Here is a 20,261-nt window from a genome sequence, read left to right as displayed (position 1 = left end):
TTAAATGGATGAATCATATGCTCTGTAAAAACCAGTTATATTTATTCCAAAATATTTAATAATTGCTTATTTTGTGCCACAAACTGGGGATATGGAAATGGAGGAGACTGAGCTCTTGCCTTCAAGAACTCCCAGTAGATTGAGTGAGGTGGGCAGATAAAGAGACACGGGCGTGACAGCCTACCACTGCTATGATGGACATGCACAGAGCCCTGTGGGGACACAGAGGTCGGGTCCCTCACCCAGCTAGAGCAATCAGGGAGGGCTTCCTGGAGGAAGCTAGACTGAGAGAGGACAAGGGGATGGCCAGAGAAACAGGGAAAAGCGGGAGAGGGGTGTCTCTCTGGTAAAGGACACAGCATGTGCAAAGACCTAGAGATGAGAAACAGTGGGGACGGGGTGCAGTAACAACAGCTGAGGCCAGTGAGGTCCACAAGGGCCGTGACCCCGAGGGCAATGGGCACCTGGAGAAGGTCCTTGCCCCTCCTTGCACTGGCTCCATGTGCCAGGCCACGGGTGCTGAGCTGAGTCGGGCTGCAGCAGGGCAGCAGGCAGGCCACTCACCTGGTGTGCTGCTGGAGGTGGGAGAGCTGCCGGAAGGACTTATCACAGTAGGAGCAGTGGTAGGGCTTGACGCCCAGGTGGATGCGCAGGTGCTGGGCCAGGTAGGAGGCGTTGGCAAAGGACTTGGAGCAGTGCGGGCACTTGTGGGGCTTGGCCTCTGTGTGCGACTTGGAGTGGATCTGCATCTCTGACTTGGTGAAAAAGGTCAGTGGGCATACCTTACACCTGCGGAGCAAGAGACAGGTTCACGTGGGAAGATCCCCCAGACTGTCCATCTCAGGGGAGGCCTTCTACATCAGAGAGACCTTGCACCTGGGACAGGTCTTTCCTGTGATGAGCCCAAGAAGCACAGGACCACCTGGGAAAGACAGGGGACAGTCTCCCAGCCTGGGCACCCTTAAATCTGGAGGAGGAAGCTCTTGCCTGGGGGAACATTACAGAGCCTGGAGCATAGGTTACACCTCATAGGGAAGACAGGCCTGATCCTGGTGAGGGTTTGCCCAGGGCTATATCCCACGGTTCTGGGCAGGAGGCGCTACCACGTGAAGTAGTTCTCAACCAGGCTGCTCATTAGAATCATCTGGGGAGCGTCTAAGAAATACCAACGCCTGCCCCACCCTCCATACTTTCCATCCTCAGAAAATTAACTCAGAATTCCTGGAGATGCAGCCCTGGCATCCGCATTTTCTGAAAGCTCTTCAGGTGATTCTTTAAAATTGTTGTTGTTGTTGTTGTTGTTGTTTGAGACAGAGTCTCACCCTGTCACCCAGGTTGGAGTGCAGTGGCCCGACCTCGGCTCACTGCAGCCTCTGCCTCCCAAGTTCGAGTTATTCTCTTGCCTCAGCCTCCTGAGTAGCTAGGATTACAGGGGCGCACCACCATGCCCGGCTAACTTTTGTATTTTTTGTAGAGACGAGGTTTCACCATGCTGGCCAGGCTGGTCTCAAACTCCTGACCGCAGGTGATCCACCCGCCTTGGCCTCCCAAAGCGCTGGGATTACAGGGATGAGCCATTGTGCACGGCCTCTTCAGGTGATTCTAAGGTGGCCAGGGTTGAGAACACTGCTTAAAGGGAGGAGGAAACCGACTCTCACAACCCCAGGCTGTGGGGGTGGCTGCCAGCCACAGACCACACCTAAGGGTCCAAGCCTCTATTCCCCTCCCCAGCAGCCCTCCCCGAACTGGGACTTGGGATGTGGGTGGGGCTCTCCAGAAGGCCCCGCCCCTCTGGACCCTAGCCCTGCCCCTCAGCCCTAAGGGTCCTGTTTCAGCCCCGCTGCTGGGCTCCTGGAGCAGCCCTGGCTCAAGCCCCAGCCCCAAGCCCACTCGGACCCCATCCCGCCAAGACCCCCACCTGTACGTCTTGCCCTCCTTGGCAGTCTCGCCCGAGGCCAGGATGGGATAGGGGACTACAAGGACAGGCGGACCCCCCGGGTTCTCCGCCTTGATCTTTTTGCGGCCGCGTTCGGACTTGGGGGGGCCAAGCAGGCCGTGGCCCTGGATTGTCTTGATGGAGTCCAGGAGAGGGGGGCTGGTGATCCCTGAGATGAGGGTGGGGGACGAGGCGATGAGGCGGCTCTGGCTGGTGGTGGTGGGTGTGGACGGGGTGCTGGTACCCGTGCCCGTGCCCGCGCCCGCGCTTGACTCAGAAGTGCTCACAGACGGGGTCCGGGTGGACAGCCCCAGACCTGCGAAGACAGGTGGGTGGGGGCAGGGGTGAGCGGAGCTGCAGAGGCCAGCTCAGCTGCCCACCCAGCTATGTGATTTTGGCAGGCGAGCATCCCCTTAACGTTCATAAGTTATTACCCAGGGGTAACTAAATGAGACCTTGTGCATGTGTAAGATGCCTTAGACACCTTAAGATTAAATTGAGTTAGATAACAGGGGCACTTTGGAAAAATTCAAACTATAGAAAAATACTGAGGCACAAAGAAGTTCACTGCCGTCTTATTTATAACAGCAAAATTTTAGAGGCAACTGAAATATGCAACATTAGGGAAGGATTCGGTAAACAGCAATTAATTGCCTCTACTGAACTGCCCATTGAAAAGGAGGTTATGTTTGTTTAAGCAAACTACGTATGTATGCACACAAAAAAATAAGTAGGAAAGAACGTGCCAAAATGTGATATGGATAGTAGATCAGGAGTAATAAAAAAAAAAAAAGAGGCTTAACTGTGCTTGATTCTTTGACAATGAGCGTTTTAAAAACTTCTGTAATAAAAGTTATTCTTTTAAAAATGATAGGACTAGAAACATAATATCAACTGAAGCAAACAAAATCATGAAAATGGTACCTATTGTGTGGTTCTATGTTTTTTTAAAAAAAAAAAAACTAAAAATTTGTGCATTGAAAAAGATAATGTCAAGTTGGCAGGAGAATGTTTTATATCATACACTGGTGGTGGGAGTGTACATTTGCAAAGCCTTAATGAAGCCTTAATGTTAATGAAGGGTAGTCTGGCAACAGCCATTAAAATTTAAACATGGCCAAGCACGGCGGCTCACGCTTGTAATCCCAGCACTTTAGGAAGCTGAGGTAGGAGTATCACTTGAGCCCAGAAGCTGAAGACCAGCCTGGGCAACGTGGCAAAACCCTGTCTCTACAAAAATTACAAAAATTAGCTGGGTGTGGTGGCGTGTGCCTGTAGTCCCAGCTACTAGGGAGGCTGGGGTGGGAGGATCACTTGAGCCCCAGAGGTCGAGGCTTCAGTGAGCCATGATCACACCACTGCACTCCAGCCTGGGTAACAGAACAAGACCCTACTCTTAAAAAAAATAATTAATTTAAATAAATTTTAATGTATACAACTTTTGGCCAAGCAATTCTACTTCTAGAAATTTACAATAAAGAAATATTCCCACATGAGCACAAAGATGTGTGTACATATCCATACAAAATTGTGATCAGACAAAATTGGACACAACCTGTTTGTCCTCAGCATGAGCTTTGTAAAGAGCTGTGGTCCACTCTCATTAGGGAGAACTGCACAGCCACTAAAACAAGATCGATGTGATACAGTGACACAGAGAGAAGGTCGAAATGAGCTGTCAGGTGAAAAAAGCAAATCACAGACATACGAGGCCATCTATTTTAAAGAACACACACTCAAACTACATACGTAGTTTGGACAAGATATATGTGCATGTAAACGCACAGGAATAGATCTGAGAGGAGACACATCAAACTGCTAATTGTGGTTCTCTCTAGGGAAAGAGAATAATTTTTTGGTAAAAGGAGATTTTCATACTTTGTCTATCTGATTCTGTATTATTTGAATCTTTTACCTGGTGAATTTATCCATTTTTAACATCTGTGATTAAAGGACAAAATAAAATAAATTATAAACATATGAAAATTCTTAACAATAGTAGGATTAAGGCTATTTTTTCTCCTTTCAGCTTATCGGCAATTTCCAAATTTTCTATAATGACTATGTATTACCTTTATAATAAAAAGTGGAACATATATGTTTATGACAGAATGGTGAGTAGGAAAAGCAAGTTAAAATCATGGGTACAGCCCTACCACAAGCTCAGCAAAACACACATGAACATTGAAAAGCCAAAAATATGGCAAAGGAAGGAAATGGACCAACAGCCTCTCTGAGCTGCTCAGTTGGGAGCTGGGGATTATGAATGATTTTTTTGTTGCTAGTTTCTCTTTTTTCCAAATTTCCCTTAATATGCTTATATTACTTTTTAATATTACTTTTATAATGGAAAAAATAAATTTAATAAAATCATAATAACAGGGGACATACAGAGTGCGGCTGGGGCCTGGAGAGGTTTACCAGGCCCTGTAATTCTTGGGTCACTCTGGGAAAATGCAGGAGAGAAGGAGAGAGGCAGAAGCACCTGCCTAGCAGCAGGGGCGACAGGGGAGGAACAAAGGCCCAACCACTGAGGTCTCCCAAGAAAGCCTATCCACCAAGCTCCGAGGAGGCCTCCGGTGGCTCCAGCCCCTTGACATTATCCCAGGATGTCCGCCTGGCACCCCAGCCTCAACCTATCCAAGACTGAGCTCACATCTTTCCCCAACCCTGTTCTTTCTCCGGGGATTCCATCACAAGGGCGGTGCCCTGGGAGTCTCCCTCACCTCCTCCCTCCCCTCATGCTCCTACATCCTGTCCTCTCTTCTCCCACAATGTATCTCATATCTGTCCACTTCTCTCCATTCCCACTACCACGGCATTGCCCAGGCCACCACACTCCTGAAGGTCTCCCTGCTTCCATGCTTACCCCCTGACAACCGGGTCTCCACCTAGCAGCCAGACTCGGTTTTCTCAACCCGTATCTGAGTGTTTCCTCCCCTACTTAAAAACCTTCAGTGGTTCCCCACTGCCCAAGGGTCAAGTCCAAACCACTGTGTGGCCTACAGGGCCCTTTTTAATCTGGTCCCTGCTTCCTCGAAGCCTCAGCAGAACTCAGCATCAAAACAGAGTGAAGATACAGGCTCTGGAGCCACACTGCCGGCCTCTGCCTCTTACTAGCTGTAAACCGTGGTTGCACGTGGCTTTACCTTTCTCTGCCTCAGTTTCCTCATCTGTTGAATAGAGACATTAAGGTGAACTGCATGAAACTGCTGTTTTTCTAAGTCAAAACGGTCCAGTGTTCCACCTAATACCAACAGCACACACCTCACAGGCTGCTGGGAGTACAATGAACACTGGTGAACAGACACAGGCGCTCGACTGGAGCTAGCTGTCATCACCACCATCTTCCGGGCCTCCCCACCCCAGACGGTCTGTCCTACTCTTGCTTCCTACACACATACTCCCTCCGCCTGTGCGGTTCCCTCTTCCTGTCCCATTTCCCTGGTTTGCTGCCAACCTTTCCTCGCCTTTTGGCTCCTCCAAGGAAGTCTTCTCTTACCCCCTAAATCTGGTCAGGGTCGTTCTCTGGATTCCCAAAGAATCTCGTGATTTCCAAAGTTCTCTATGTGAACCTAACTTTCCTGGTGAGCCCCATGGGGCAGTGACCGGCTCCTGTCGTGTCCACTGGGGGGAGAAGGGTCCTTCCAGTACTGGGTCGTTGGAAGTCCGGTGCTGTGGCTCGTCGTGGCCAACCCCGCCACTCCAAGCTTTATGCCCTACCCCTAGGCCCTGCCCGCCCTGCTCTTACCTAGCCGGGTCCCATCCTCACCAAGTCCCCCGCTACGCCCGCCCCCTCCTGCCCAGTCCTCACCGGCCCCGCCGGCCCCGCCCGCTCGGCCTACCTGTGACGGTGCTGGTGGCCGGCCGTGCGTGCAGCGCCACGTCGGGCTGCGGCACCGCCTGTGGATGCAGCCCCGGCACCTGCTGCAGCTTGGGCAGCGACATGACGGCCTGGCTGCTCTCGGCGGGTGCCGGCGGCACTAGCAACGGCTGCTGCGACGAGGCCGACGTGGGCGGCAGGTGAGGCGGCCTGATCTTCTCGGCCATCAGCTGCTCCTTGATCTTGTTAATCAGAACCAGGTTGTCCAGCTGCGGGAAGAAGAGGACGGGCTGAGGAGGTCTGGACCACCTCCCGCCCCTTGCCCAGGCCCGCTGGTCCACCCGCGAGCCCCTCGCTCCTCACCCCGCTCCCCGCAGGCCACAGCCAAAACCCAGGGGAAGCGAAGCAGCGCCAAGGAGGGTAGGGCAGCCGGAGGGGCGACGTCAGTCTTACCTGGCTGGGCATGGTGGGAGGAGGGGGCCAGAAGTAGGGGTTGTTAAATCGAGGCTCGGCCATCCTGCGGGAAGAGAGCGACTGTCACCGGGAAGAGAGCCCTCCCCAAGGCCTGGGGCGAGCACCCCTCAGCTGCGCCCACTCAAGTCAGGGCCAGTGTCTGGGATCCATGTCCCCGTGGGTCCCCCAGCCTCACAGCACAGCAGGCCTCCCACCAGGCCAGGAAGCCACATCTCCAGGCTGAAAAACCTGGAATTCAGTGACACCCCCACCACCCCCCCTTAGTGGGCCCCATAGGGCAAAGGTCACATCCAGACCAGAGTACTCTCAACCAGCTCCCACCCCTATCACCCCAGTGCTGGCCAACCAATCTCCATCCCCCAGGAGGGCCCCAGGCTGCTGTGCCAACCCCGTAGGTTCCATACAGAAGGCCCCCCAAGTCCAGAGACAAACTGGGGAGGACTGCAGCAAATTTGTAAATGCCCATCCCTGATCCCTGCTCTTCTGCCCCCTGACCCCTTGAGTACGGACATCCTTCTCAAAATCAGGGGGCAACATGAGGTCACCAGATATAGCCTTTCTGAGGGGCAGTTTGGCAGGACAATTTACAGTGACCCAAATGATTATTGCCCTTTGACTCAAGAAATTGTACTTCTGGAAAGTTATCTTCAAGAAACAGGCCACGTGTGGTTGTTCAATGTCACGTGCAACATCTGACCTACAACGACGTGGATGAGAATGCTGTGGTTATGGAGGGGGCTGAAGAGGCTGAAGCTAGGGCAGTCTGCGGCTCTTTGGTAAAAGTGTGTGACAAACTGTCTGGTGGCCCTCACCTCTGGCAAGTTCCATGGCAGGCCTGTGCGGTTAGAAGGCCTTTTCAACCAGGGCAGTATGAAGGATGGGCCTTCAGGGCTATCTCAGTCTTCCAGAAGGTTTGTCTTCCTGCTACCCTAGAGTAAGTCAAGAAGTGACTTACAGGGACCATGCCTCACAGAGGGTTTCCATTAAGTCTTGCTCCCTGTCAAGTTTCTCGTATCTCTCTCTTACAGAAATCACTTGCCTAACTGGTATTATTGCTTAAATGAAATTGTTTATTTTGACAGGAAAGACCAAAATGAAGTGCTTTCAACCTCTTTTCCTGATTCTATGAGCTTGAGAAACCCCTATTGGAATGGTAGCTATAGGGCTTCGGGAGAAAACCCTCAATAAGGACACAATCTAATCTCAATATTTTAAGAAAGAAATTTTAGATGAATTATCTCTTGTGATCTTTACTTGAAAGTAGGCACAAGAGGTATTATTATACCATTTTATCAGTGAAGAAACTGAGGCTCAGAGAGAGGGGAAGGAGGAGACCTGTCCAAGGCCACAAAGCGAAGGTGCCACAGTCAAAACTAGAAATCAGATTTGCTCAAGCTGGTTCCTCTGGGGAATTTGCTTTGCAAACCCTAGTCTTTGGAAGAGCAAATGCCCATATGCAAATGGCTCAATATCTATATGCAAATGTCCTTACCCCTCACTCCCAGCCTGAGGGCCAGTTTGGGTCAGAGCACCCTCCTCAGGTGGCTGGGGCAGCTCCTGCCCTCTATCAGCCCCCCTGCTCCTCCATCCACAGGCACCAAGATGCTCTTCCCTCTGCCCACCAATCCCTTACAGCCCAACACAAGAAGTACTTCCTGCCTGGAGTTCTCCCTGAATGCTCCAGACCCCTGGGACATATCCTTTCCCAGAACAAACTCGAAACAATAATTATGGTGAGGAGGCTGCAAGTTACCAAGTGCCTCTCTTGTGCCAGGCACAATGACACTGAAAGGCAGGTAGGTACTCTTATCATTCCCATTTTATAGCTCAGGAAACTGAATTCAGAGAGGTGGAGTGACTTGTTCAAGGTCACACAGCAAGTAAGCAGAGAGCTGAGATTCCCACTCTAATCTGCCTGACTCTGAAGTCCAGCTCATCAGTCCCTTACGTATTCAGGGGAATGACGCATCCTGACCACAGGCTTGTGAATAAACCCTACCTTAGGATGACACGGCTGCGACCCCACAGGTGAGCACCCGCTCACACAGCAGTCTCAGGACCTGTCCCAACCCTGCTACTGTCCACAGGGGGAAATGTGGAGGGGACCGAGATGTAAAGCCAGGGTAAGGAGGCTCCACGGCTGGGGGCAGGGAGCTTGAGAATTGGATACACCTGTCCTGTTCATCTGGGTATCCCCAGCACCCAGGCCCAGAGGTTATCAATAATGTGAGTTGCATAATGGAATGAATAAATGAAGTAATAATAATCAGAATGACTTTAAAGACAATCCCATACAATTATCTAGCACTGCTCACAGTTTACAAAGCTCTTCTGTGCCCACTGGCATTCTCATCAGAACCTCAGGAGGATGGCAAGCAAGGAAGAATTTTCACCCTGATTTCACGGAGGAAGAAACAAGGGCACCAGGAGGGAGGCACCTTGCTCAGGCCACATGCATGAGAAACAGGAAGCAGCACTGTGATGTGATGCTGGGTGCTAGCTCTCTAAGCCTCAGGTTTCCTCCTCTGTAAAATGGGGTGAAACAGGCTACCCTGCCTCACTCCTGCCCTGGCCCAGGACTCTGCCCACTGCACCTCGCTGCTTCTCAGACAGTTCTGGGAGATCCGTCTTTTCCTCCTCTTCAGTTCAGTTCAATGCCAAGTTCAGAGCCACTACCCTGATCAGGAGGCTATGGGAAGAGGGGGTCTTGCCCAGGGTACCACAGCTGGGATAGAACATCCTGCCACTTATCAGACCCCTGGTCAGGCAGGGGCCACCCTTCACCCTAGATGGGCCCCAGATCACTTAATCTGATCCACACCACCTTTGCCTGATTTCTCTGCATCATTTTCTGGCTGGTTCTAAGTAATTTAATGATTCAGTCAGTGACCCTAGTCCTGGTATCTACCTACTGTGTGACAGGCACAGGGAAGGCAGGGCAGGGGCCAAACATTTCCTGAGCTCTTCCTGCGTGTCAGACACACTGCTAGGTGCTCATCAACAGCATCTCATGTGAGACTCCCAACATGCCTTTGAGGTGGGTATCCCCTGTGCAGCCCTGGGACCTGTACAAGAGGGTGGGCCCTGGTGAGAGGTGAAGGGGTAAGACAGCCAGGGCCAGGCCAAGCCACTCAGACCTTGTCTAAGGGAGGGGCTTGAAGCCAGAAAGAGACATGGCCAGAAGTGTGTTCAGGACAGAGGGACAAGGCAGAAGGACATTCCTGGAAGAGGTCACAGCTTCAGCAAAGGTGTGGAGATGTGAAAGCACAAGGCAGGCTTGGGACAGTGAACAGCACCCAAAGACACCAAAGAGAGCTGCAGACCAGGGAGGTGGGGAGACACAGGGCACTGAATGCCATGCTAAGATGTTGGGTTGGAATGCTGGTGGTGAGAAGGTGGCAGGAAGCATGCTGGGCCAGGGGAGCAGTGAAGCAGAGGGGACTATCTGAGGACCTGGTGAGGGCAGGGGGTGGAGACAGAACAGCCACCCGGGGGTTGAGTGTGCATACCAGAATGGGCAGAGGAAACACGCTGGTGGCCAGGCCTCAAGCACGACAAAAGCCAAGACTCTCTACTGTGAGCCCCAAGACACAGGGCTGATCCTTACAGGGGAGCAAATGTCATTTTGTTTCTCTTATTCTAAAAGGTGAAAAACAGTGGATGGGCGGATGAACGAAACGCCCCTTCCAGAAAACGGCCTGCTGATGGCAGCTGGCCCATCTATCAATCTGTCCATCCATTCATATTGGACAAATCCTCTGGGCCAAACTGGGACCAGCGCTGGGGAACCTGAGCCAACTGGAAAGAACTCTGCCCTCCCCGAGCCCCAAGCTAAGTGAAGGAAGCAGACAAGTGAGCCATAAGCTTCTGCAAAGAACTCTCACCTATAAGGCCAACCACACACCACCGTGGCCTCCCTGAGGTCAAAGCTTATGGCCCACCTTCCAGTCCTGTCCTCCATGGCCTCCCTGCCACCTGGCCCCTTGGAGAAGGCCTGTGTACCATGACACCTGGCTCCTCACTTTCTCAGCCTCCTTTACAGTCCCTAGCCTCTCTTCCCCACCAATTCAGCTCCTCAGGACAGAGCGGGAGCCCCCTCTCTCCCACCAGCCTCAGTTCCCTGGGTGGCCCAACCACTTTAGAATCTAAATACCAGCCAAGCCCGAAGTCCCCACCTCCAGCCAGGCCTCTCCCTGACAGTCCCTTTGGCCGACTCCTGGGCTGCTCAGACTCTGCAGGCCTGAGCTGGACTTAGTCTTCCCCTATGCCATGCACCTGGTCTGGTCACCCCCAGCTCACAGCGGGACATCCCCATCTGCCCAGATGCTCCTGCAGACACACAGTGATCTACCGCACATCTGCCCAGATGCTCCTGCAGACACACAGTGATCTACCACACATCTGCCCAGATGCTCCTGCAGACACAAAGTGATCTACCACACTCGCCCTCCCTCCCCACTCACCTCACACCCATCTCAGCCATGTCCTCAGGATTCCAGTTCCAAAATCTCTCTCAAGCCCACCCACTCTTCTCCAACAGTCCCAGCCACTGTCGCCTCACCAGGACTGTGGAACAGCCCGCTCTGTTTGCAGCCCAACATACCCGGGTTCCAATCTTTACTCCAACTCACCAGCTGTGTGATCTTGGGCAAGGCACTTGCTCCTGCCCCCCATGTAAGGGATTAGCAGCCCAGAGCCAGGGACCTGACCCAGCCTGGAGAGGATCAGGGAGGACTTCCCAGGGGAGGTGATGCCTGCCTTGGGTCTTAAAGGATGAGTGGGAGTTAGCCAGGCAGAGAAGAAGTGGGAGCATTCCCAGCAGAAGCAACAGCTTGAGCAAAGGCCCCCCAGGCGAGGAGCCCAACAGTGTGAGGGGAGCCACGAGCGTTCGGTGTTGCCTGGCAGATGGGAGATGAGGCTGGAGCCAGCAGCTGGGGCCAGACCTTAAAGGCTGCTCCCTGACTCCTAGGCCTGAAGGCTAGACTTGAAGCAGTGGGTGATGGGACAGAATCTGTGGTTGAGAAAGGCCCCTCTGAGTGCCCAATGTAGAGGGGACTAGAAAGGACAGGAGAAGAGGCAGTGGGAGGCCCCTGGGGAGCAGAGCAGAGAGGCAGGGGCTGCGCCTGGGCCAGGGAGGAGAGCGGCCAAAGAGGCCTGAAGCTGGAGGCCAAGGAAGCATGCAAGGTGACCCCCACAGTGGAGCCCAGGAGGCCCACTGCATACCAATGCTGACAAACACAGCCACAGGAACATGCGGACAGACAGCACCAAACCCAGACACAAATGACAGATACAGACCTGTGGCCCCAAATGTGGACTGATGGGGACCCAGCAGCTGCCGTGAGGAGGAACCCACAGCCACCACGACACAGGAGGCCGCTACAGGAGGGTAAGCACACACCTCCCCCAGGGCAGACCCAGAGGGTAGCAGCGGGGGCACTCAGGGAAGGTGGGACGAACACAATGCTTTAATCCCCCAAAGAACAAACCCTCATTGACAGAGTGCAACCTGGAATCACAGGCTCCTTACCTAGAGTGTCCTTTCCCACTTGGTGAACTTCTACTCATCCTTCAAGACCCAGCTCAAGTGTTCCCTCTTCTACGGAGCTTTCCCTGAACCCCCAGCCAGTCACTTCCTCTGTGTTCCCAACAGCACCTTGTATATGGGAATAACAATAACAATAATAACAATAATAATAATAGTAAAGTGCCAGCTACCATTGATTTCAACATCTATGTGTTGAATATGTCATGATTCATGTCACTGAATCTTCCCAATGACTCTGAGATGCACGTGCAGCACAGAGAGATTGACCAACTTGCCCCAAATCACACAGCTAGTAAGTGATGGAGTTAGGATGCCCAGCACTGGCCCAGCACTACAGGGCCAACTGCACTCCAGTGCAGTTATATTTTCCCGGGTGTCCTCCCCACCAGACTTCAAACTCTTCACAAGTAGGGTTGGTGCTCATTCATTTCTGCCAGCCTCTAGCCCAAGGTGGCCACTTCCAATGGACTGGGAACTGTGTCAAGATATTTACAGCCATTATTTTACTCTCACAATAAACCTGTTGTACAGATGAGGAAACTGAGGTCCAGAGAGGTTAAGCAAGTTGCCTTAGGTCACAGAGCTGAGTCTGAACTTGAAACCGGGTCTGTTTATCACTCCGTCCCAGAAGGGTGTCTCTGAGGCCAGCCCAGCAAGCTCCAGAGAGGGGAACTGAGGGAGGGGGTACTGAGGAAGGTGTACATCAGGTGCCAGGCCCTGCCACCTGGAGACTTTCAGACCTAGACAAATGGACAGAAAGAGGACAGGCAGCCCAGGGAGGAATGTCACAAGACTTACCCACTGCAAGGCAGAAGGGTTCAGTAAAGCAACTTACGGCCATCCCCCAACCCCCGCCCCAGCCCAACCCACAGACATTAAAAAGTGAGATTTGACTGGGCTGGGCATGGTTCATGCCTGTAATCTCAGCACTTTGAGAGGCTGAGGCAGGAGAATCGCTTGAGCCCAGGAGTTTGAGGCTGCAGTGAGCCATGATCACACCACTACACTCCAGCCTGGGTGACAGAGTGAGAACCTGTCTTTAAAAAGAAGACAGTTGCCCAGACCCCATGGTCACATGGGAACTAGCTCTTCACAAAGCAAATGCGAGAGAGCAGGACCCAAAACTATCCGGACACTATGATTACAAAGGAGGCAAAAATAAAAACCTGCGTCAGAAAAAGAAAGCTTCAGGGAGCCACACCCAGAGGGAGGCTGGGAGCAAGGCAGGAGGCAGCTGGGGCCAATCTTGGTCTTTGTCTTTGTTTCTCTGATTTCCAAATTCTCTGTAATGCTGTTCAGCTGCTTAATGAAAACAATAAATTTATTCTTAAAAAATGAAAGAAAGTAGTTGGTAGCCCAGTGCGGGGAACAGATGGAGGGTCCAGAGGCATGGGGCAGGGGGAGGTCAGGGTCAGCTGCTGGTGGGCAGGCAGTTGACTGTTGCATGCCAGGCCCTGCACAGCCTCAGCCTCAAAGCACAACTTGGAGGGTGGGTGTCAGGAAGGGCTATCCGGAAGAGGTGGCATTCAATCTGTACCATGAAGCTGATTAGGATCCTACAGGGTGGGGAGAGAAGAGGGTCTGCACCACCTCCCCTGCCCTGATCCAGGCCCCCTTCAGCTCTGGCCTCAGCTGTTGTAAGAGCCTGCTCACAGGTTCCCCCACTCCACCCTCATCCTCCACTCCATTACTGCAGTCACTGTGATTTTAATAAAATAAAAGATCATAACCCTGCCCTTCCTAGGACCCTCCATAGCTCCCTACTTCCCTCCAGACAATTTCTGGATTGCTTAAGCCTTACATGTGCGGCCCCTGCCAATCTCTCTGGCTGTTCTACTTTGCACTGCCCAGCCAGACTGAACATCTCACAGTTCCCCCAGGGTTCTGCTTCCCTTCTCACCTTCCACAGGCTGCATCCTCTCCCTGGTGCTCTCTGCCCTCCCCATTTCACTAGTGAATTCCAATGCATCCCTCAGGCCCCAGCTTACAGGCCACCTCTTCCTGGAAGCAATCGGGGACTGCTCTGCCTCCATGCCTGAGCTACACTGTGTGCTCTCCTCTCTGCTCCCTTTGTACCCTGCCTTTCCATCATCAGAACCCCTCTCACCCCATGTTCTGTCTGTTTGCTCATCCATCTCTGCTGCCAGACAAGCACTCTGATGGGGAGGGATCATGGCTGAATCATTTATCTTTTAAGCCCTGCACAGTACCTGATAAAAGTTTGGATTAATTACTTACTTAATAATCAGGTGGGGGGAACTGAAAGGGCTGTGGCCTGGATGGAAGGAAGCCCCCTCCCCCTCCTCCAAGTCCCCTCCACCCACTCTGGCACTGTGCTGTCCTCTGTGTTAACACTGTTTACTATTTCCTGTGTCTAAGTCCTGTCTTCCTAATTGACCCAAGTCCTGTCTTCCTAATTGACCCAAGAAGGGGCTATGTGTGTTCTCTAAAGACGAGCCAACCCAAAAAGGATGTTAACAGCTAATAAACACAGAAAATGGTTCTGCTTCCATAGCAGTGAAAATTCAATGAGTTTAACCTGTCAAAATAGGAAAAAGAAATAAGAAAATGCTAACACCCAATACTGGTGAGGGTATGGTGAAATTGGCACGCTCATGTATTATTGGTGGGAGTGTAAACTGTAACAATCATTTCTGAAATAAATCTGGCATGAATTTGTCAAGAGCTCTAAAAATGTCCAAACTTCCTGGCCTAGTGATCCCATTCTTGGTCATCCATCCCTAGAAAAATATAGAAAAAGTTATATGTACAAAGCTGTTTGCGTCAGTGGTTTTTTACAGCAGCAAAAACCTGGAACAGCCGAAATTTTAAACAGGTTCTGTTTAAGTCATGTTACCTGGTGTCATAGTCTATGGTCGTTAATAACAGCTAATGTTACTGGCCTTGTAATGACTCATTTAACACTCACATTGGCCTGTCAGGAACTGAAGGCACAAAGAGATCAGGAAATTTGCCTAAAGTCAAGCAGTTAAGTGTAGGATTTGAATCCAGACAATCAGGCCCTAAAGCCCATACTCTCCACCCTGACACTGGATCCATTAAAAGGAAGGATTGAAACCACTCTGCAGTCATTTAAAAAAATACTTGTGATACAACAATAGTCAGGGGGGAAATGGGAAGATTTTTAAAAACTGCATGTATAGATGGAGCAAGGACATCTATATAAAAACTGGGTGCTGAGAGAAAAGAGGGGAAGAAAACACCAAAATGCTAACAGTGGTGATGCTTCCGGCTTGGAGCAGGGGCAGAGATGAGGTGGGTTTTTACTTATTTCATATCCCTGTTTTCTCATTTTTCTCCATGTCACAGCTGATGGGGCGATAGGCCTGGAAGAGTATTCTTATGTGACTTTTTAAGGGAATATTTTTAATAAAACCAAAAGTTAAGCAACCTTTGACAAAGCAAGACACCCCAAACCCCAGCCTAAGGCCCTGCAAGTTTACCCAGGAGAGTGGGGCTCAGGGAGGGACAGGGGCCTGCTCAAAGTCCCACAGCAAAAGCCTCCAGCCCCACCCATGACCCCAGCCAGGAGAGCAGTCAGGAAGGGACTCCTGGTCCCATCCAGGGGCCCCAGCGGGGAGGACCAAGCCGAAGGAGAGCCTTCCCAGGGCGCTAAGTCTACCGCTTAAAATCCTTCTTGGATTCCCATCACTTTTGGGGTATAGTTCAAACTCCACAGTCTGATGCTCGGGTTTTCGCCAAGAAGGTCCCCTGGCCACACTCATCTCACCAGGTGTGCTCCTTGGCAGCATCCCTCCAGCATCAGGGCCCCCAGAACAAGGTGATCTGATGTGCCATGGCTTTGCACAGGCTGAGCCCCTCCATCTGGGAGCCATACCACCCAGCTGGAACCCTGCCCTCAAAACTCTGCTCAGCTGGCACCACCTTGAGGAACTGTCTGGTTATCTGGTTATTTGTCCAGTCCCCCATGTAGGCTGTGGGCTCCCCAAAAGCAGGGCTTGGTCTGGTTCTTAGTTACAACCCCTACCCCAACATAGCCCCACAGCTCACCCAGGTCTTCCCTCCTGTCTCAACTTAAAGGTCACTTTTGACGTTTCCCACATAGGAATTGGGCTACCCTGTTATACACTCCCATGGTCCCCTGCCTTCTCCCTACCCCACCTTTGTATTAATACCATGCACCTAAATATGCTTTAGGCCTGTCTCCCCATCAGCCGTCACTGCTGCAGCCCCAGAGCCCAGCGCCAGCCATGCAGTAGGGCCTCAAGTGCCTAGTATACACTGGGTACTCAACAGATGTTCACTGAGGGAATTGATGAGGAGGGGTCTTTCCATGTGAGCCGTGAAGACAGACGAGTTTGCCAGGAGAGCCACTGCGGCAGAAGGGCAGCATGTGCAGAAGCTGGAAAACTGTTAACTCCCTGGGAGAGCAAAGGTTTCTCAAACATAATCCCTGCCCCCAGAGAGGGGCAACAGCTACTGCTGCAGTCAGGCTGGGAGGGAAGGGAGGGTAGTGGCAGCATTCTCAGGAGGGTGAACTCATCTCACTGTGGGAAGAACAGACTTCAGGAAGGTGGGACTTACTGATGGGGGAAGGGGAAATTGCAAGAGGGAGATGCCAAAGGAGAGTATGGCAGGTGGAAAGAACTGCATGTGCAAAGGCCCCGAGGCAGGAAAGCACACAGCATCACGTGGGTCAGGGGTATAGTGCAGGAATTCACAAGGGAAGAAGGGTGGGGTGGCTGGAGCCGTTCATAAAGGACCAGAGTTGCAGGCTAAGGTGCTCCGGTGAAAGAACATAGGGGGGACATGGGAGGTCCCTGAGCAAGGGAGGGCCATGGCCAAGGTTTTCAATGGACAAGCTGTATGGGGCCAGAAGGATGGCCTGGAGAGGATAAGCAGATGGTCTAGGAGAGGGAAACTGAGGCTTCTCATGTTTTAGGCTCCTGAGACACGCTCAAAGTTTGCCTCCCATGGCCCCTCTGCCCTCTGCCACTCCAAGCAGCTAGAACCCTGAGCCCCAGCCACTGCACCCCACCCCACTCTCAAGACTTTGGGCAGTCCTGGCCAGCACCAGAAACACACTCCTGGGAACTTCCTTCCCCGGAAGGAAAGAGGCTCCCAGGGTCCTGGATCCAATTAGACCGGGTTTCCGCAGCCCCACGGGGCTGGGAAGGGCTGTTTTCATTGTGATGGCAGGGCTAATCAGAGCAGGAGGGGTTGCTGTCTGTGCCCAGGTCAGTGGGAGCTGGGAGCCTGCCCCTTCCCCTCACTGTCCCTCCCCCTCCCCAACACCCTCAACCTCTGGGCCCCCCATTCCCACCTCCAGCTACCCAGAGACACTGAGGGCGGTTGAGCCTCTCTGGGAGCCTCAGTGCCCTCATCTAGGGAAGGGGCCATGACACTCTCTCAGTTCTGAGAGAATGTTCTACAGGCTTGGAGCACATCCCCCTCCCTACTTCTATTTCTCCTGGGGACCCCCAGCTCCTATCCCCACAGGGAACTCCTTCTGCTTGTATGAAATGATGATGGCAATAATAATAATAGTTGCTTCCTCCATGCCAGGCACCTTAAGATACTTTACAAGCATTTCTCACTCTGGCTCCTAACGACCCCATGAGGTAGATGCTGTGAGTGTTTTGAAATATAACATATATTCAGAAAGATGCTTAGAACATGAACGGACAGCTTAATCACTTACAAAGCATGTATCAGGAGACCTAAGAAGCCCTCACCCTGGGTCCTTTCTCAATTTCAGTCCCCATGTGTCCCCCAAGCTTCTATGGTCATCACTTCTTTGTTTGGGGTCAGGAATGAGGCTCAGAGAGGTAACTAACCTGCCCAAGACCATGCATCTGGTGCAGGCAGAGGTAACAGAACCCTCTGTCAAGTCCATTTTCTCTCTGGGCCTCCTTTCCTGCCTCTATAAGGTGAAGGGGTTCAACCAAATCATAGTCTGGGCTCCTGGACCCTTAAAGGGGAAATGTGACAGCTCAAGGGTTCAAAGTATGGATTCTGGAGGCAGATAGCCCCAGCTCAGGCCTTTGGGATTGTTACCTAAATCTCCAAGCCTCAATTTTCTCATCTGTAAACTGGGGATGATTATGGTATCTCCATGGGTTGTACTGAGGACTAAGTTAGCTAATATGGATAAAATCTTTCGAACACTGCCTGACACACAGTGAGGACTCCTGAACAGTCAGCTGCCATTGCTGTTGCTAGGTTCTCTAAGGCCTAAGGGAGCCTTTCCCAACATTCCAAAGACCCACATGGAAATCTGACCAGCCAGTAATGCCATCTAGGGGGTGGGGGGTGGCAGTAGCTCTGGGTGGCCTTCAGGACCCACAGGGACCATTCTTCTGACTGGCAAAGATCCAGGTCTGAGATTAACTAAAAACAGGAAAGCCAACTGCTGGACCCTGGCTCTGGCCCGGCCCCCAGGAGCTTTCTAGACAGGTCTCAGGGGTCCTGGACAGGGAACCCCTGGCAGGCAGTGAAGCCTGCTTCCCTGCTATATCCCAGGACCTCCAAGGCAGGCAGCCTGTGGGGCAGGCCAAACAGGCCTCCAGCCTGGGGTGCAGGCCAGCAGACAGAGCAGGCCCCAAGCAGGCCACAGCAGCAAAGGGAAGGCTGAGCTGGGCTGGGCAGAGAAAGGAGTGGGGAGGGTGTGGGGTGGACAAATGGCTCGCGGGGAACAGGCCAGGGAAGACCGGCTACAGGCCCCACCAGACTCAGCCTCACCTGCTGCCTCATCTCCTGCAACTTCCCTAGGTCCCAGTGCCACCACCTTCTCTTTGTCCCTGAATTTCTCACCTCCGGGTCTCTGCCCAGGCTGTTCCCTCTGCTCCTCCCCCATCATCAGTCAACATAGTGACCAAAATCTCTAATCTTAATCATCATGTGGCTGGGCACGGTGGCTCACACCTGTAATCCCAGCACTTTGGGAGGCCAAAGTGGGTGGATCACCTGAGGTCAGGAGTTTGAGACCAGCCTGACCAACATGGCAAAACCCCATCTCTACTAAAAATACAAAGATTAGCCGGGTGTGGTGGCACACGCCTGTAATCCCAGCTACTCTGGAGGCTGAGGCAGGAGAATTGCTTAAGCCTGGAAGGTGGAGGTTGCAGCGAGCCAAGATTGTGCCACTGCACTCCAGCCTGGGTGATAGAGCGAGACTCCATCTCAAAAAAAAAAAAAAATCATCATTTGTGTGATCTTTTATATAGTGCCTGTCTACCTCCGCTAGGGCAGGGACCTATATACATCAGTTTTCCTCCCATCTATCCTCAGCATCTAGCACAAAGCCTGGATATAGTAAATGCTCAAGAAATACTAGTGAATGAAGGCAGGAGACAGAAACGGGCTGCCGGCTCCACCATTTCCAGTAGATCCAGGCCAGGTGTAGGTGCAGGTGTGAATGCAAGGGTGTGTATGAGACACACTGCGCAACGGCTAGAATTTGAGGCTATGTTATCTCAAGTGTAAATAAGCATGTGCATGCAAGACTCATCTACATGTAAAAACACACATGTGCACAAGGAGGCCTGAGTGAACAGAGCTGTGTACAGATGAACACCATGCGTGTGGGAGAATGTGCAGATGATCAGGCATGTGGCTGTGTGCTGTTTCCCAGGAGAGTGCACGGTGTACGCTTGGGTATGTGGTCCTCCCAGTGGCAAGAGCACATGCACGTGCTCCTATGTGATGTGCATACCGTGTGTGCATGCACACTCCAGCAGACATGCTTCCTGAACTCCTGGCTCCTAGGGATCCAGTTTAGGACACCTGTGGTGGTATTTCTGAAATAGCAGAGGAGTGCTCCACATTGGCAAGGATGGTGCAGGAGGGAGGGTCAGGGGTGGTAATGGAAAAGGTAATAGTGTGAATATGTATGAATGTATTTGAGTGTGTTGAAGGGTTGTGCCCCCTCTCAAGCAGGTGTCCCCCGACAGAGCCCCAGAACCTGGAATGGCTGCCTAGACTGTCCCCTCAAGAATCCTAAAGCCGGCCAGGTGCGGTGGCTCACGCCTGTAATCCCAGCACTTTGGGAGGCCAAGGCGGATGGATCACAAGGTCAGGAGATCGAGACCATCCTGGCTAACACGGTGAAACCCCATCTCTACTAAAAATACAAAAAAATTAGCTGGGCGTGGTGGTGGGCACCTGTAGTCCCAGCTACTCGGGAGGCTGAGGCAGGAGAGAATGGTGTGAACCCAGGAGGCGGAGCTTACAGTGAGGGGAGATCGCGCTACTGCACTCCAGCCTGGGGGACAGAGCAAGATTCCATCTCAAAAAAAAAAAAAAAAAAAAAAAAAGAATCCTAAAGCCTTTGCCCAAAGTTCAGAAAAGGACCCCAGATGGTGGAGACCCCACCAAGAGTACCCTTGTGGCCACATGCATGAGGCAGGGAACAAGGCAGGACCCCTTAGGCCCCAGAGCCAAATCCCTTGGCCTTCCCTACACACCTTATCCACTAAAGACACTATTCAGCCACCTCC

The 20,261-nt window shown here is 52.2% G+C and overlaps 1 protein-coding gene across 8 annotated transcripts in view, besides 2 other annotated features; it reads right to left on the bottom strand.

The window, feature by feature from the left end:
• The window catches only part of ZNF362 (zinc finger protein 362), a 173,198-nt gene that overhangs the window by 18,344 nt on the left and 134,593 nt on the right, over positions 1–20,261 (bottom strand). For 3 of the 8 annotated variants that reach the window (NM_152493.3, XM_047447110.1, XM_047447109.1), the window contains exons 2-6: positions 11,764–11,889; positions 6,213–6,276; positions 5,782–6,028; positions 1,919–2,252; positions 565–789 (exon numbers count right to left, since the gene is read on the bottom strand). In NM_152493.3, the coding sequence (NP_689706.2) occupies positions 565–789; positions 1,919–2,252; positions 5,782–6,028; positions 6,213–6,276; positions 11,764–11,801 (908 nt within the window). In that variant the 5' untranslated portion in view covers positions 11,802–11,889. Of the gene's footprint in view, positions 1–564; positions 790–1,918; positions 2,253–5,781; positions 6,029–6,212; positions 6,277–7,045; positions 7,163–11,763; positions 12,684–20,261 lie in introns of those variants that run through there. The other 5 variants (XM_047447108.1, XM_047447107.1, XM_005270507.3 and 2 more) reach the window with 3 other exon arrangements.
• Positions 13,241–13,742: an enhancer, noted in NCBI's record as "H3K4me1 hESC enhancer chr1:33734235-33734736 (GRCh37/hg19 assembly coordinates)". NCBI's record gives its function as "activates a minimal SCP1, AML or CMV promoter by ChIP-STARR-seq in naive H9 embryonic stem cells {active_cell/tissue: H9 hESC(naive)}" and the evidence as "EXISTENCE:reporter gene assay evidence [ECO:0000049][PMID:30033119]".
• Positions 18,343–18,843: an enhancer, noted in NCBI's record as "H3K4me1 hESC enhancer chr1:33729134-33729634 (GRCh37/hg19 assembly coordinates)". NCBI's record gives its function as "activates a minimal SCP1, AML or CMV promoter by ChIP-STARR-seq in naive H9 embryonic stem cells {active_cell/tissue: H9 hESC(naive)}" and the evidence as "EXISTENCE:reporter gene assay evidence [ECO:0000049][PMID:30033119]".

This window comes from Homo sapiens, chromosome 1 (assembly GCF_000001405.40).
Source record: "Homo sapiens chromosome 1, GRCh38.p14 Primary Assembly".
NCBI lineage: Eukaryota > Metazoa > Chordata > Mammalia > Primates > Hominidae > Homo > Homo sapiens.
Note: the sequence above shows the minus strand (reverse complement) of the source record. Positions and strands in the feature narration are given on the sequence as shown.